The 14,463-nt window shown below is 53.5% G+C and overlaps 1 protein-coding gene across 15 annotated transcripts in view, besides 4 other annotated features; it reads left to right on the plus strand.

Moving 5' to 3' along the window:
* The window catches only part of COL27A1 (collagen type XXVII alpha 1 chain), a 158,414-nt gene that overhangs the window by 77,082 nt on the left and 66,869 nt on the right, over positions 1 to 14,463 (plus strand). For all 15 annotated transcript variants that reach the window (XR_929860.4, XM_011519138.3, XM_047423992.1 and 12 more), the window contains 8 exons: positions 643 to 687; positions 4,420 to 4,473; positions 5,802 to 5,855; positions 6,483 to 6,536; positions 9,041 to 9,094; positions 9,255 to 9,308; positions 11,008 to 11,052; positions 12,328 to 12,381. Coding sequence is in view for 14 of the 15 variants with exons in the window: in XM_011519138.3 (XP_011517440.1) it covers positions 643 to 687; positions 4,420 to 4,473; positions 5,802 to 5,855; positions 6,483 to 6,536; positions 9,041 to 9,094; positions 9,255 to 9,308; positions 11,008 to 11,052; positions 12,328 to 12,381 (414 nt within the window). In the remaining variant the exon portion in view is untranslated. The remainder of the gene's footprint in view (positions 1 to 642; positions 688 to 4,419; positions 4,474 to 5,801; positions 5,856 to 6,482; positions 6,537 to 9,040; positions 9,095 to 9,254; positions 9,309 to 11,007; positions 11,053 to 12,327; positions 12,382 to 14,463) is intronic.
* Positions 772 to 1,273: an enhancer, noted in NCBI's record as "H3K4me1 hESC enhancer chr9:116994231-116994732 (GRCh37/hg19 assembly coordinates)". NCBI's record gives its function as "activates a minimal SCP1, AML or CMV promoter by ChIP-STARR-seq in naive H9 embryonic stem cells {active_cell/tissue: H9 hESC(naive)}" and the evidence as "EXISTENCE:reporter gene assay evidence [ECO:0000049][PMID:30033119]".
* Positions 1,274 to 1,773: an enhancer, noted in NCBI's record as "H3K4me1 hESC enhancer chr9:116994733-116995232 (GRCh37/hg19 assembly coordinates)". NCBI's record gives its function as "activates a minimal SCP1, AML or CMV promoter by ChIP-STARR-seq in naive H9 embryonic stem cells {active_cell/tissue: H9 hESC(naive)}" and the evidence as "EXISTENCE:reporter gene assay evidence [ECO:0000049][PMID:30033119]".
* Positions 3,703 to 4,203: an enhancer, noted in NCBI's record as "H3K4me1 hESC enhancer chr9:116997162-116997662 (GRCh37/hg19 assembly coordinates)". NCBI's record gives its function as "activates a minimal SCP1, AML or CMV promoter by ChIP-STARR-seq in naive H9 embryonic stem cells {active_cell/tissue: H9 hESC(naive)}" and the evidence as "EXISTENCE:reporter gene assay evidence [ECO:0000049][PMID:30033119]".
* Positions 4,204 to 4,704: an enhancer, noted in NCBI's record as "H3K4me1 hESC enhancer chr9:116997663-116998163 (GRCh37/hg19 assembly coordinates)". NCBI's record gives its function as "activates a minimal SCP1, AML or CMV promoter by ChIP-STARR-seq in naive H9 embryonic stem cells {active_cell/tissue: H9 hESC(naive)}" and the evidence as "EXISTENCE:reporter gene assay evidence [ECO:0000049][PMID:30033119]".

Genomic DNA, 14,463 nt, shown 5'->3' on the forward strand with positions numbered 1-14,463 from the left:
CCCCCGACCCATTTCAGCCCAGAAGGAAGGGTGACCTTAGATGATGCTGGGGGAAGGGAGGATGGCAGGATGCTCAGAGGGGTGCTAGGAGGAAGCTGGGCAGGTCAGGAGCTGTCAGCTCTGGCCTCAGAGCCAGGCATCATCTGTATGTCATTTAGGCCAGACATCCTCCTCTAGCTGAGCATGAGTCTGACAGGGTTCCAGGCCTCAGGGCACCGGAAGTCCAGTGGGGGACATCACCAGGGCCATAGAAACTACCATGGCAAACCAGTGAACTCAGCCCATCCCTGAGTGGGAAGGGCGTGCAGCAGGAAGGCAGGCCAAGACTGCTAGAGCACATCCCAGGGGCGACCAAATTTAACCAACGTGCGTGTGACACGGCTCATTAAGCCCTTCCCTCCCCACCAGTTCCTTCTTCCTCTGGATTTGCCTGCAGTGCTGTGGTGCACTGCCTCTCTCACAGCTCCTTCAGTCCACACCCTTGCCCTGTGAGATTGGAGTCATTTGCCCCCTTTTACAGATGTGAACACTGAGGTTGGGGGATCTAGCACGGGGTCTTGCAGCAAGTCGTGTTTAAGCCAGGGCTCCTGACTTCTGTGGCCTAGAGTCCCATCACAGCTGGCCTTGGGCTTTGTCTTGCAGGGACTGATGGGCAGCGTGGGGGAGCCCGGACTGAAAGGTGATAAGGTGATCTGAATACTCCCTTATTGCACTGTGGTTTCTCTGCATGCCACCCCCCTCTCCGCCCGGAGGCTGCTGCTGATTTCTCGCCAGGTCCACTCCCCTGCACTCTTCCTGCCTCTCCTCTGGCCTCCCCTAAATCTGTGCTCCCTAGCTTCTTCCTGGTCACTCTGGGTGGGGCTCAGGCAGATGGTTCTGGGAGCCCGAAAACCTCAGCAGATAGTGCAGGAGCAGCTGTTGCAGCAAGGAGGGCAGGTATGTCAAGACAGGGCTCTGAATCCAGAGAGCAGAGCTGAGGCCAGCATCTGGGATTTGAAGGCAAAGCCACAGAGCAAGGAGGGTGGCAGTGAGGGCACAGGAGGAAACAAATCTACATAGATCACCCTGGCATGAAATTGGAAACCCCAGAGAGCGTGCCGACTGGAAATGCGACTCTGAGCCCCTGACCCGCTTCTCCTCCTGCTGCCATGGGGGTGGCTGCCCTTGCCATGTATCCTCTGTACAGCCCTGCTGCTGAGCTCTCCCTATCTCACCCTGTGCCAAACCAGAGTTGGAAGTGGGAAGACAGGCCCTGGGGGCCCAGAGCAAAGCAGCATCTGAATACGAGAGACACAGGGCCCAGCACTTGTGCCCTGCTCTGTGGCCATCTTCCTGCCTAGCCTCTTCAGACCTTGGCAAACCAGGACCCCCGAAGGGGGTGCAGGAGGGGTTCAGAGCAACATTCCAAGTATCCATGAGACATCCGAAGGACTGACTGCTGCTCAGCCAGCCCCTCATGTGGTCAGGTGACACCGCACCTGTCTCTAGGTGCCTCTGCTTCCTCCTACACCTGAGTCATAAGGTCAGGTGCCATGCTGGGCGCCATCTGAGTGTACCACATGGATCCACCCATTAATCCTCCTACCCACTATGAAATAAGAAGCTTGCTTGGGCCGGGCACAGTGGCTCATGCCTATAATCCCAGCACTTTGGGAGGCCAAGGCGGGCGGATCATAAGGTCAGGAGTTCGAGACCAGTCTGGCCAATATGGTGAAACCCCGTCTCTACTAAAAATACAAAAATTAGCTGGGCGTGGTCGTGGGTGCCTGTAATCCCAGCTACTTGGGAGGCTGAGGCAGGAGAATCGCTTGAACCTGGGAGGCAGAAGTTGCAGTGAGCCAAGATCGTGCCACTGCACTCCAGCCTGGGCAACAGAGCAAGACTCCCTCTCAAAAAAGAAGCTTGCCTGAGGCCACGCAGCTGGTAAGTAGAAAGTTACCTGGCTCCAGAGACCTCAACTGTGAAGCAGAACTAAGTCAGAAGGTCAGAGCTGGTGAGACTCTGGGAGGTCACATTTCACAGTTCCTACGTCTCACAGATGGAGAAACCAAGACCCAGGGAGAGAAAGAGATTTGCAGGCCCCTGGACTCTTAGAACATTAGAATTGCTGGGTGAAAATGGACATCTCCAGATTGTTTTACTCAAGCCTATCCCTGGGTAGCCAGCTGGGTGCCATGCCAACCCCAGTCCTTTCTCTACCTGTTTCTACCTCTTCCATCTCCTCCTGTCATGCCCAAGCCTCCAGCCACAACCCACCTCTGCCCCCCTTGCCCTGCTGTCTGCTACACCTTTCTGCCAGAGCCCTCCCTCTTTGAAGGGGCTTTCTGATGGAGGCAGGGGGTTCCCCACACCTACCTGTTTATCCCAAGGTTTGAGACATCAGCGCTCTGGAAATGTTGAAGTCATGGACGAGAGAGAAAGGAAGCTGGGGAAAATGAGAGTGTAGGCAGTGAGCTCTTTATAGGCCCCTTTGCAGAGCTGGTCTCAGCTCAGCGTTGCTTCAGGAACATGGAAATAAATGTGTTACATGGAACTCGGCTGGCTTGCTGATGGGAGTTGCCTGGGACATTTAGAGATGTGAAAACTCTGGAAAAAGAAAAAGGAGGAGGAAATTATTTTCATGCCCATAGTTTTTAGGAAAATCAAATGTCTTTAGGGGAAAAAAGAGAGAGAGGGGGAGAAAGAAACCCCTTTTCCTTTGGTGGGGAGGAGCCTTAAGGCTGTGTTCCGATCAGCCACGCACACATCCGTGTCCCCTGGCCCTACCCTGGGATGACAGAGCCATCCCTTCACGTTCCAAGGTTGCTCCTGCCTCAAATCCCAGATTTTCCATGACCCAGCCTGGACTCAGTCCCACTTACAACCGCTTGGCTCCCTCTCTCAGCCTGGAGAAGCATTCTGGAAGCAAAGCTCCTGCTCCGAGCCCAGCTCCCTTCAAATTCATTGTCCTGATTTCCTAGGTGCCTTTTAAACTTTCCTTGTTTTTCTATTTTCACTCCTTTTTTTCACCCCTTCACTCCTCTCTTGGACATTAAAAAAAAAAAAAAAAAAAAAAGTCCTGTGGTTCCCCAAATACCAGGATGTTGTACAGGATTTTCCAAATTGGAAAAACCAAAGTAAGTTGAAAAAAAATTTTTTTTTTAATTCTGACTTTTGTTCTACTAAGGAAGTTCTTTTGTTAGGTCATGGCCTTAGCCATGTGTGGGTTTTCTAAGGTTTTCCATTTTTCCTGGGTTTTTCTCCCCATTCTTCCTCCTGCTCCCAGGGATGTAAATGTTTTCGGAATCCTGGGGCTGACAGAGTGTCAGTAATGTCCAACGTGGAGGGCTGGATAGAGTGAGGCCAGGGCTGTGTGAGGTGGTTTCGGCCCTAAGGGGAAGCAGCTCCCAATCTGGACTGCCTGTTCAGAATATGGCTAAAAACAGGGAGGGAGCAGAAGAGGCCTCCAGCAGCCAGAATCAGTGTCACGAAGCCTGTGCAGTACATCGTGTTAGAAGACAAACACCCAGACTTAAGTCAAGACCAATTTACTTGCTGTTTACACATAGTCTCAACAAGCCAGGAAATCTGATTTCCCATGCTATAGCTGATTAAAATAGTTAATTAGAAGTAGACCGGCCAGGCACAGTGGCTCACGCCTGTAATCCCAGCACGAGGCGGGCAGATCATCTGAGTTCAGGAGTTCAAGACCAGCTTGGGCAACATGGCGAAACCCCATCTTTACTAAAAATACAAAAAAAAAAAAAAAAATTAGCTGGGCGTGGTGGCACGCGCCTGTAGTCCCAGCTACTGGGGAGGCTGAGGTGAGAGAATCACCTGAGTCCGGGAGGTCAAAGCTGCACAGAGCCAAGATTGCACCACTGCTCTCCAACCTGAGCAACTAGAGTGAGACTCCATCTCAAAAAAAAAAAAAAAAAAAATAGACCAAAGCTGCTTGCTGGCACAGAAACTCCCACATGAGGAGGAAGTGACAGCTCAGTCTGATGGTGAAAAATTGAGCAGACACAAACGCTCCGAAACCACGTTGGTGTGGGGGCCCTTGCACACGCTGCCTTCACCCCTGTGTGACAACACCCGTTAATGATGAAGAGGTTGAAGGATCAAACACTTGATTTGCTCTGCATCAGTTCTCCAGGCAAGGCCAGTTGACACTGGGCAGTGGGCAGCTTAGCTTCTGTTAGTGGCATTTTCAGCCATCCGAGCAGCCCCAGGCAAGTCTGCACATTGGCCAGCTCACCCCCCGCCACCGCCTGCTTTCCTCGCCAGGGGCCCGTCCTTTCCTCTCACAAGGCTGCTGCTGGCCGGATCCGACTTGGGAAACAGCCTCGGCACAGCTGTACCTCGCCAGGGGGTCTGTGGGGGAGGCTTCCAGAACCCACGTGGCCTCCATTGTAACCTTCTTTGCTGGTGTGTACTTAGGGTGAACAAGGGGTTCCAGGTGTGTCAGGAGATCCCGGATTCCAAGGAGACAAGGTAATTGCATGAGATTTTCCCCTCCCCCTGCCCCTGCCCCTGCCCTGCTGTTCCCCTGGTCTTGGCTTCCTTCCTAGGGTCCATCATGAGCAAGGACCCACCTGTAAGACGGCTGCCCTCGAAATAATCCAGTCTTCTCCATCCTTGATCCTCTTGTCATCTCTTCCTTGGACTTTACAGTGTGACCTTTTAACTTATTTCTGGGCCCCAGCCTCTTGCTTTCTCTCTTTCTTCTTTACTGCTACCCAGTTGTTCTTCTGAGGGCAAAGCTCTGCTCTCCGCTCACACACCGTCCATGGCTCCCTATTGCTCTCAGAATGACACCCTGGCTCCCTAACCAGACATCAGGACCCCAGTGAGTGCATCTCTCTGATATTCTCCTGCTCCCCGCCTTACAGCTCTGCACTCCAGCCCCACTGAACCGCCTGCCGTGGGCCTCTGTACACACACACACACACAGACTGCTACCCGCCCGGGACCCCCTCCACCCAGCCTCTCCACACCACCCTGCTCAGAGCCCTTTTTCCCCACCTGCTCAGAAAGTGGCCATTTCCCTCTCTAGATGCTCTGAGAGGCATGTCCTCCCCTCACTGGTGGTGCCACCTTTCTCCTCTGATTTTGGGGGACTTGTACTGTGTCCCCTGCCAGACAGTGAGTTCCCTAAGAACAAGGCTCCAGACTGCCCTGATGGAGCTCGGCTCAGGGTCCTGTCCTTGATCATGAATATTTAGGATAAGGTTGAGGGAGTAACTGGCCTTACAAAATGACATATTGACTATGGGATCAAACTGAGGTGGCCTTGACTTCCAGAGCCCAGCTGTGGGCCTGCTGAGACTGGCTCCCCTTTGCCTGTGTCCGGCATCATGTGGCCACATCTGGAACTCTCCCGGCCAGTCAACGAGGCCCAGATGTTGGCCAGCTCTCCCTCTTCCTCTTCCCTCCCTCCTCGCTGGCCTGTCCTGACCCAGCCTTGGTATCTCCGGGTTGTGAACCACAGCAGGCCTGGCTCTTCCCTACTGGACCCTGTCTCCAGAGTTCCCCAGGAGTCAGAGGCACCACAGAGCCTGCGTGCAGCCCCAGGGTCCCTGATTCTTCCTGGTGAGGACAGGGGCTGCTGTTTCATGTTAGCATTTCCTGGGGCCCAGCCTATAGGGGTGTCAGGCAGGTGTGATCCAAGCCAGAGCCCACAGCAGGGAAAGGAAGGAAGGAGCTCATCTTCCTCCAAGGCGGGCGTTCTCTGGGCCTGGGACCAGCAGGAGGACTGGGCGGCTGTTCACCTGGCCATTTCTCTTCCTCACTAACCCCAGCCTGCTCTGGATCTCTTCCAGGGGAGCCAGGGGTTGCCAGGGTTCCCCGGTGCACGGGGGAAGCCAGGGCCTCTGGTAAGTACCTGCTCCTCCAGCACCCCCAAACCTCACACTCTCCAACTGATCGTGTAATGTGGCTGGGGACACCTTCACCTCCAAGACTTCATTTCCTCCTGCAGCAGAGCTCCTGGGGGCAAGCAGGGCAGGGCAGGAATGGGATGTGCTCATTTCACAGATGAGGATACTGTGAGAGGCTCAGTAACTCAGCCAGCTTCAGAGGCAGGCCTCATTTGCCGACAAAGCTCTGATGAGGATCTGGGGTTCCTGATGCCTTGTAAACAATAGTGATGTTATCAGTAACAGCAGTGGCTGTCATTTATTGAGTGTCACTGTGCATCCGACCCTTTCTGAACTGTTTCTTTGAAGGCTGCCAACTACCCCAGGAGTGAGGGAATTAATATTGCTCCCATTTTACAGATGGGCAAACTAAGATTCCGAAAGTTGAAGTGACTTGCCCAGGGTCCCATGGTTAGCAAGTGCAGGAGGCAGAGTTTGAATGGTAGCTCCTTCTAGTTGTCCAGGCAGATTTTATGCACATGCTTCTGAACTTTCCAACCATCCACAACCAGCGGGGGAACGCAGGGGGTTCATGGAAGGTGGGGTCCTCACCCCTGCCTCCCTGCAACCTCTTCTCTTCCACAGGGCAAAGTCGGAGACAAAGGATCCATTGGGTTTCCCGGGCCCCCTGGACCCGAGGTATGTGATGCCCCATTTCTCCGTGTCTGGCTGCTGCTGGGACTCGGTCTTGTCCTTGGGAAACTGAGGCCCAGGGATGGGGAAAGACTTGCTTTAGGTCACACAGGATATGAGAGATGAGGCTGAGAGGAGAAACTCCTAGATCAGCAATCATTTATTTTCCCCTTCTGCTCTTCTGCTCTTACTCAGGGGCTCTCAAAAGTCAACAGGGCCAAAAGGTGGCCTCAGAGTCCTCTGCCAACTTTGTGGCCACCGCAGCTTTGTGATTCATGAAAGCCCTCTGTGCGCCACTGTCTGGTCCCTCACAGGAGCTTCCCACATTCTCCACTCAGAGTTCCCTCTCCAAGCCCTGGAACTTTCCTAGCCACCCACAGCCACTCTGGAACGGTTCAGGGCTCAGAGCTTCCGGGTATGGGGAGCAAGAGGTAAATGCAAAATTCGGGCTTTTGAATGAAGAATGAGAAATAAGGATAGATTTAGCAATTAATATAATAACTCTAGTTGAGTCAGGAGAGAGCCTCAGGGTTTCTGATGTGTGTGATCATTGGCATAGGTAGGCTACACCTGAATGATCAACTCGGAATTCACATGTAATGTTGCGAAGCAAGCTGGCTGGGTTCTTTTTGACGCCCCCGTCTTTAACAGGGGTCTCGTGTCTAGAGAGCTGGGCTGAGCAGGAGCCAGGGCTGCCGTCCCTCTCAGGATCATTGGCACCCAGGCCAACCTCAGTTGGAGCCCCCCACCCACAACTCCCTAGCCTCCAGGTCTTGCTCACCCATGAGGTCTCTGCATCCAAGACAAAAGTGTGGCTCTGTGGATAGGCCGGACCCTGCCAAAGATCACTTCTGCTATCACTCGGATGGATGAGGAAATGTTTCCTAAAAGCTACAAGTTCTGACTTTCCACTCTGTTGACTTTGGCCATGACACAGTCCTATCTTTAGACAAATGGACTTGGCCTCTCCTCCATGGCCCCAATTCCCTCCTCTGGTCGCTGGAAAAAGGCTTTTCTGAGAGTCCAGCTTTCCCAGCATTCTGGCCCGTGAGGGTGGAAGGCATGCTCCCTCACATTTATTAGGCACCTCCTGGTGCCAGGAGGCTGTGCAGTGTCCTCGAGATGAGAACTTGCTGAATCGCCACGACAGCCGCATGAGGGGGATATTACCACCACCAGTTTACAGTTGAAGAAACTGAGTCACAGAGCAGGAAAGTGGCTTCCTCAGGGTTGCTCTGCTATGTAGGAACAAATAAGGTCTGCTTTGGCCCTTTCCTGGGTCCCTGGACAATTTAGCCATCAGCCTCTCCCGTCTTTGTGCTCTGTTTTGATTGGCTGACTCTGTAGCCGAGAGATAGCTCTGCTCAGCTGAAGGGGGAAGCTGATAAGCGCGGAAGCTGATAAGCGCGTCAGCACCCTGCCTGCTTCTTTCCCTGAGACCATGGGAGGGAGCTCCAGCTCTCCAGCACCCGGGTGAATTATCTCTCACTCATCAGTGGGTTATATGCAAGTGAGCATCAGGATTTGCTCAGCATCCCGACTGCTAAGTTCTCACTTAGAGATGGGCCCACCCCAGGCAGACTTCTTTTCCCAGAGTACAGGACCCAAAATCATTTTGGATGCAGATTTTTACTGAGCACTTGCAACTTTGCTGGTTCCATTTAAACTTAAGACTAGCCCTGTAAGGGAGGTGTTACGAGCACCATTTTACAGATGAGGAAGCTGAGGCCCAGAGAGGCTAAGGAACTTGCCCAGGGTCACACAGGAGGAGGGCAGGGCTCTGGGAACTGCGTAACAGGTCTCCAAATTGTGCAAAGACCACTGTGGGGAGAGGGAGTCCCTGTGCTCTGTGGGGCCCTAAGGAGGAGCACGAGGATATTGCAGGGAAGGGAGGTGATTCCGCTCCATGTGGGAAGAACCTTCTATTGTACAGTCATCCCAGGGGAATGGCCCTCACTGGGAAGCAGGGAGCCCCCATGGGTGGAGTGGGGCAGAGTCCAACACATGTGGCCAAGATGTAGGAAGGACTTAAGCTTACGATGACTGGAGCTGAGGTTAATTAAATCAGTGCTTTTCAATGCTTTCAAAGTCACAGCAAACCCAGAAAATCATCCTCTTTGCAGGATTACTGCAGTCAAAAGACAAGACTTCTCAGGGCAAGGCGTGGCTGGCTCTGGGGAGCAATGTCCCCAGACACCCATAATTCTGACCCAGTAGCAGCACCGGATTTGAGAAATAACGACCTTGAGTGTGACCTTCCATGTTACAACCTTAATGCTTTCCTGCACCGTCCGGTGTATTGTCTCAGCAACTCTCTGAGGTGTCAGGGCTGGAACCATGCACCCTGTTTTAGAACTGAGGACTGTGGGATCAAGGTGGTTAACTGACCTGCCTGGGGTCCCATCCCAGCAGGATGAGATGGAAACCCGGTCAGTCTCCCTGCAAGACGCATCCCCGTAGCACTCCCTTCACAGCCCCCGTGGGTGACCCTGCTCTCTGCTTCCCCTCAGGGATTCCCAGGAGACATCGGCCCCCCTGGCGACAATGGCCCAGAAGGCATGAAGGTGAGTACCTGCCCAGGGCAGCTCCAGTTGGAGGAGCAGACAGCTCTGCAGAAACCACAGGGGCTGGCTGCCTGGCTTGGAAGCAGGGGTTGCCTTGCCAGCCTGCGATGGAGATGGAGGTACCGCCTCTGAGACTCCCTTTTTGTTCCCTTCTCCCCAGGGTAAGCCTGGAGCCCGAGGCCTGCCGGGACCCCGTGGGCAGCTGGGGCCCGAGGTGAGACTGTCTGGCCCCCTCCACTGCCCATCCTGGCCTGATTGCAGCCCCCAGCCTGCCCTGTCCTGGGTACTGAAGGCCTTAGCTTGGGCTGGAGCCCCCTCAGCCAGGACACCACCCAGGGCTTCCCCAGACTTACCCACCAGCTCATCCTATACAGCCCTGCCCCGTGCCCCTTCCAGGGACCTTCTCTGCCCTGCTGTCACCTGGCAGGGTGGCTTCCCCGCACCCTCCCTCCTCTGCACCCTCGTCACCCTGGGGTTTTCTTTCCCAGAGCTACTGACAATGCCGTGCTCGTGGTAGCAGTTTATCAGGGCATTAATGAGGGAGTAGGAAGTGTCAGCCCCATTTTACAGATGAGGCCACTGAGGCCCAGAGAGGAAAAGAGACTCAGTCAGGTCTTATGGTTAGTAGCAGGCAGGGCTGCAATGGGAACCCAGGTCTGCTTGAGCCCAAAGCCCATGACATACGTCCTATGCTGTCAACTCTGTGCTTCCTGGGAGTGGCCTTGCTGTCAACTCTGTGCTTCCTGGGAGTGGCCTAGGGGCACCTCCAGAATATTACAATGACTTGCACAATTAGTTAGTGGCAGAGCATCGATTTGCTTATTTATGTGCGCTGGATGAAGTGGGTTGGGAGGGGTCTCTATGGGGCTGTTGGAGCACCAGGTGGGCACTTAATGGGTGGGCCCCTGATTTTGCCCTGTGCACGAGGCCATTCTTAGCCTTCCCATGCCCCACCTACCTTAGCTCAGGCGCCAGGCCCCCGTGACACACAGCCCTGGGCTGAGGGTGCGGGAAGCCCAGATTCACCGCGACCGCAGGCGGGCATCCAGCTGACATGGATCCCTTCTCGGGCTGGCTCTGGGTCTGGCGGGGTCCCAGCACTGGCTCTGGGAGCCACCACGTGGAGCTGCTTTCCTGGAAGCTGGGGAAAAGGAGCTGGGGGGTGTCTCTGGAGGGAGCCCCTTGGTCAGGCCTGGCATGCCAGAAGGAGCCAATTAGGAGGCTGCCTGAGCCTGTGGGGGTGGGGAGCACCTGGAGAGTCTCATGGGCCGGAAGCGGGAAGGAAGGGGAGAGGAGGGAACGGCACCAGCCACATGCTTCTGTCTACACTCACATTACCACTCAAGAAAGCCCTATGTATGCCTGCCACTTGTTCACATCTTCATTCATTCATTCATTCACTCACCAAACACCCCTTAGACACGGCACCATCCCGAGTGATGTTTGGGGGTGGCTGCAAGAAAGAATAAGGCATCACTGCTGACCTCCAGGAACTCAGCTGAAGCCACTTATTATATTTGAGGATGATCTTCTCCAATCTGGGAAACTGAGACACAGTGAGGCTGAGGTCTGCCAGTGAGCAAATGGCAGAACTCAGAGCCTACATCTTTGAGCTGCAGTTTGAGGCTCTGTTCCTCACAGCACACAACGGGGTTTAACTCTCATGCCCAGGGCTTCCATGAAGCCTGGAGTCTCCATTCACTGGAAGTCACTGTGTAGCCTGGCCTCTAGGCCATGGCCAGTGGAGCCTCTGCCCTGGGTGGGGCCAGGCAGGTGGGCCAGGCGTGCTGTTTCCCTTTGTCCAGGAGGGCTCTCCTCTGTCCATCCCTTTCCCTCCATACAGGACAAGATCTCTGCAAGTCCAACTGGATTAACTTTCTCCTTTTTTCCTCTCTCGTGTCTCCCAATTCTAGGGAGATGAGGGACCCATGGGGCCGCCAGGGGCCCCTGGCTTGGAGGTGAGTGTCACTGGCCTGGGGTAGGTGGCATTCATGGGAGCTGAGCCAGCTGTGCACAGGCAGGGCAACATCTGGCCAGTGCTCCAGAGGGAAGTCATCAGTGAGGGCCTTGGACCAGCCAGAGAGAGAACTAGGACAGACCCCAAAGGAGAGAGACAAGAGCCAAGAAACTGACTGTCACTGCCCACCTCCTATGTTCCAGGTGCTTCATGTCAGTATTTATTCTCCTTGATTCTCCCATGACACATGATTGCTTTCCTTGGTTTCATTAGAGAAGAGGCAAACGAGAGTGAAGGCTTTAGCTCGACATCTCACAGCCAGGCAGTGGGGACGCCCTGCCTGGGCCCTCAGCCCGAGCCCTCTGCACTCTTCCAAGCTGCCTTCCCAAAGTCACTTGTCCTACACCCCTTCTTGGTCCCAGCCATTGCATAAACCAGCAGCTCATGAAATTTCTGGTATCCAGAGCTTTTTACACTCTTGAAAATGATGGAGGACCCAAAGGCTTTTGTTTGAGTGGGTTACACCTACTGAGATTAGTAATTAAAACCAAGAGACTTTAAATGTATTTATTCATTCATTGAAGATTAATCATAAACTCATTTCCTGTTGATAAAAATTATATTTTTAGGAGAATTCACGCTATTTTCCATAGCAAAATAATTGAGTGGAAAGAGTGGCATTGTGTTACCATTTTTGCAGATCTCTCTTTAATGTCTGGCTTAATAGAAGTCAGCTGGCTTCTCAACTCCGCTTCTGCATTCAATCCACTGACAATATTGCGCGCCATGCAGCCTCGGGAAGATGCCACTTAACATTCACCAGAGTGAGAGTGACAAAGGCGAATGACATCTTAGTGTTATCATGAAAATCATTTTGACCTCCTGAACCTTCTGAAAGGGCCTCCGGGACCCCTGTAGTCCTCAGGCCACACTTTGAGGACCACTTGCATAAACTGTTCCTTCCCTGCACCCCCCGATCATCTGCCAAGTTCCTTCCTTTCCCTCACTCCCTGAAGGCAGGTGTCATCTTCCTCATTTACAACAAGAAGACCAACCCAGGGATGGGGGAGGCTTCCCTGAGTTCACGCAGCTGGAAACCCTGCCTGTATTCCAGGACAGCTGGCCACCTGGTGGACTCAGGGTTATATGCCCCTGTCCACCAGGGTATGTGGCTCTCTACAGCTGTGGATACCCTGTGCCAGGCCCTTGGAGCCCCTGGACCCCAGCCATGTTGCCCCTGTCCAGCTTCTCCCACTTACCTGTCTCTCTGTTGCAGGGTCAGCCTGGCAGGAAGGGGTTTCCTGGGAGGCCCGGCCTGGATGGCGTGAAGGTGAGGGGACCTGGAGATCCCTGGGGACAAGAGGAAAGAGGGGATCCTACATATCTGGGCCCCAAGTCAAGCCCCAAATCCCATGGCCAGTTGTGAAAAGGGAGAAAAAAATTGGTTCCTGTTTAGAACAAAGTATTGGTAAGGGAGAAAAAAATGGACACAACCTAAGTGTCCAACTGTGGGGGATTGTTCAAGTAGTGGGATATAGTCCAGCCACCCTAGATGGTGTTTCGGGCTATTTTACAAGATGGGAAGATGCCTGAATGTGGGGTGGGGGTGGTGGAGGAAACAGGTTATAAAAGGGAATGCTCAAGTGTGAGCCTGTGGCAGGGGCTGGGTTGCACCGTTTCTGTTTTTTTCTTTCATTTTTTTTTTTTTTTTTTTGAGATGGAGTCTCCCTCTGTTGCCAGGCTGGAGTGCAGTGGTGCAATCTCAGCTCACTGCAACCTCTGCCTCCCAGGTTCAACTGGTCCTCCTGCCTCAGCCTCCCGAGTAGCTGGGACTACAGGTGTGCAGCACCACGCCCAGCTAATTTTTTTGTATTTTTAGTAGAGATGGAGTTTCACCATGTTGACTGGGTGCAGTGGCTCACACCTGTAATCGCAGCACTTTGGGAAGCTAAGGCAGGCGGATCAAGAAGTCAAGAGATCGAAACTATCCTGGCCAACATGGCACCCTGTTTCTTTACGCACAGAGCAGAGGCTAGAAAGTGGACAGGGATTATCTCTGGGTGGTGGGACAATAGGAGATTTTCATTTTCTTCTGTGGGCCTCTATATTTTCCCTATTCTGCATAATAAATAGATAGTACATATATTAACAGGGTTTTTAAAAAATGTTATCAAAAAAGACCTGGCCCAAGATAGGAGAGTAATGGTCCTCAGCCCATGGGCAGCCTCACTTAATAGTTTCCCAAGGACTCCCTTAAGTTGGAGTTTTCCCAGCCATTCTGGGCAAAAGATTGTCGGGTCAAGTTTACAGATGGGCAAACCCACAGGAGGTTAGGACAGAGCCAGGGGGAGCGCAGGTCATCCATATCTCCCTCCCTTCTGGGGAAATGGCCCACTTATCTGTCCTGGCCCCTCTAGTTTTCATGAGGTCCAGGGAGGAGCCGAAGGGGGAGGAGGCTCCACCCAGGCTTGCAGTAAGCCACATCCATGTATGCGCCAAACTACTGGCTAGCCCGAGCCCATGTCCTGCCGTCTGAGGTTTCGGCCTCTCTCCCTCAGATACCAGTTGGGTTTCTGTGGTGGGAGTGGTGACATCGTCTGTGTGGATTTGTCCCACAGATCTGCTGTGGGCCTGAGGAGCAGGAGCCATCTCAGCATGGGACAAAACAGACAGACAAGGCCGAGATAGGCCACCCAATGTGAAAGTGGGACAGAGCCTTGAAGACAAATGAGTCTGATTTCCCTTTTTTATAGCTGGGGAGGCTGAGCCCAGAGCAGAGATGGGACTCACCCCAGCCACCCGTGAGCTGGTGGCAGAGCTCTAGTGTGTTGAGGTCTAGGACCCTGGTGCCCTGACGTCCCATTTCCCTGCTCTTCCTGAGATAGGGCAGCCTGATGCAGTGGGAATGTGCATTCTTGTTTTTTTTTTTTTTTTTTTTTTTTTTTTGACAGTCTCGCTCTTGTCACCCAGACTGGAGTACAGTGGTGCAATCTCGGCTCACTGCAACCTCCACCTCCTGGGTTCAAGCAATTCTCTTGCCTCAGCCTCCCCAGTAGCTGGGATTACAGGCATGCAGCACCACACCCAGCTAATTTTTTGTATTTTTAGTAGAGATGGGGTTTCTCCATGTTGGCCAGGCTGGTCTCGAACTCCTGACCTCAGGTGATTCGCCTGCCTCGGGTTCCCAAAGTGCTGGGATTACAGGCGTGAGCCACCGCACCTGGCCCAGAATGTGCATTTCAACCGGGCAGACCAAGGTTTCGGTTCTAGCCCTACCTCTGGCTCACTGTGTGACCTCAGGCAGGTCACTTCACCTCTCTGGGCCTCATTTTCCACCTCCACAAAATGCAATGGGCTTCTGAAGGACCTAGATGAGACATACACATCCAGGTGCTGAGTAAGCCAAGGCCCC

Source organism: Homo sapiens, chromosome 9 (assembly GCF_000001405.40).
Source record: "Homo sapiens chromosome 9, GRCh38.p14 Primary Assembly".
Lineage (NCBI taxonomy): Eukaryota > Metazoa > Chordata > Mammalia > Primates > Hominidae > Homo > Homo sapiens.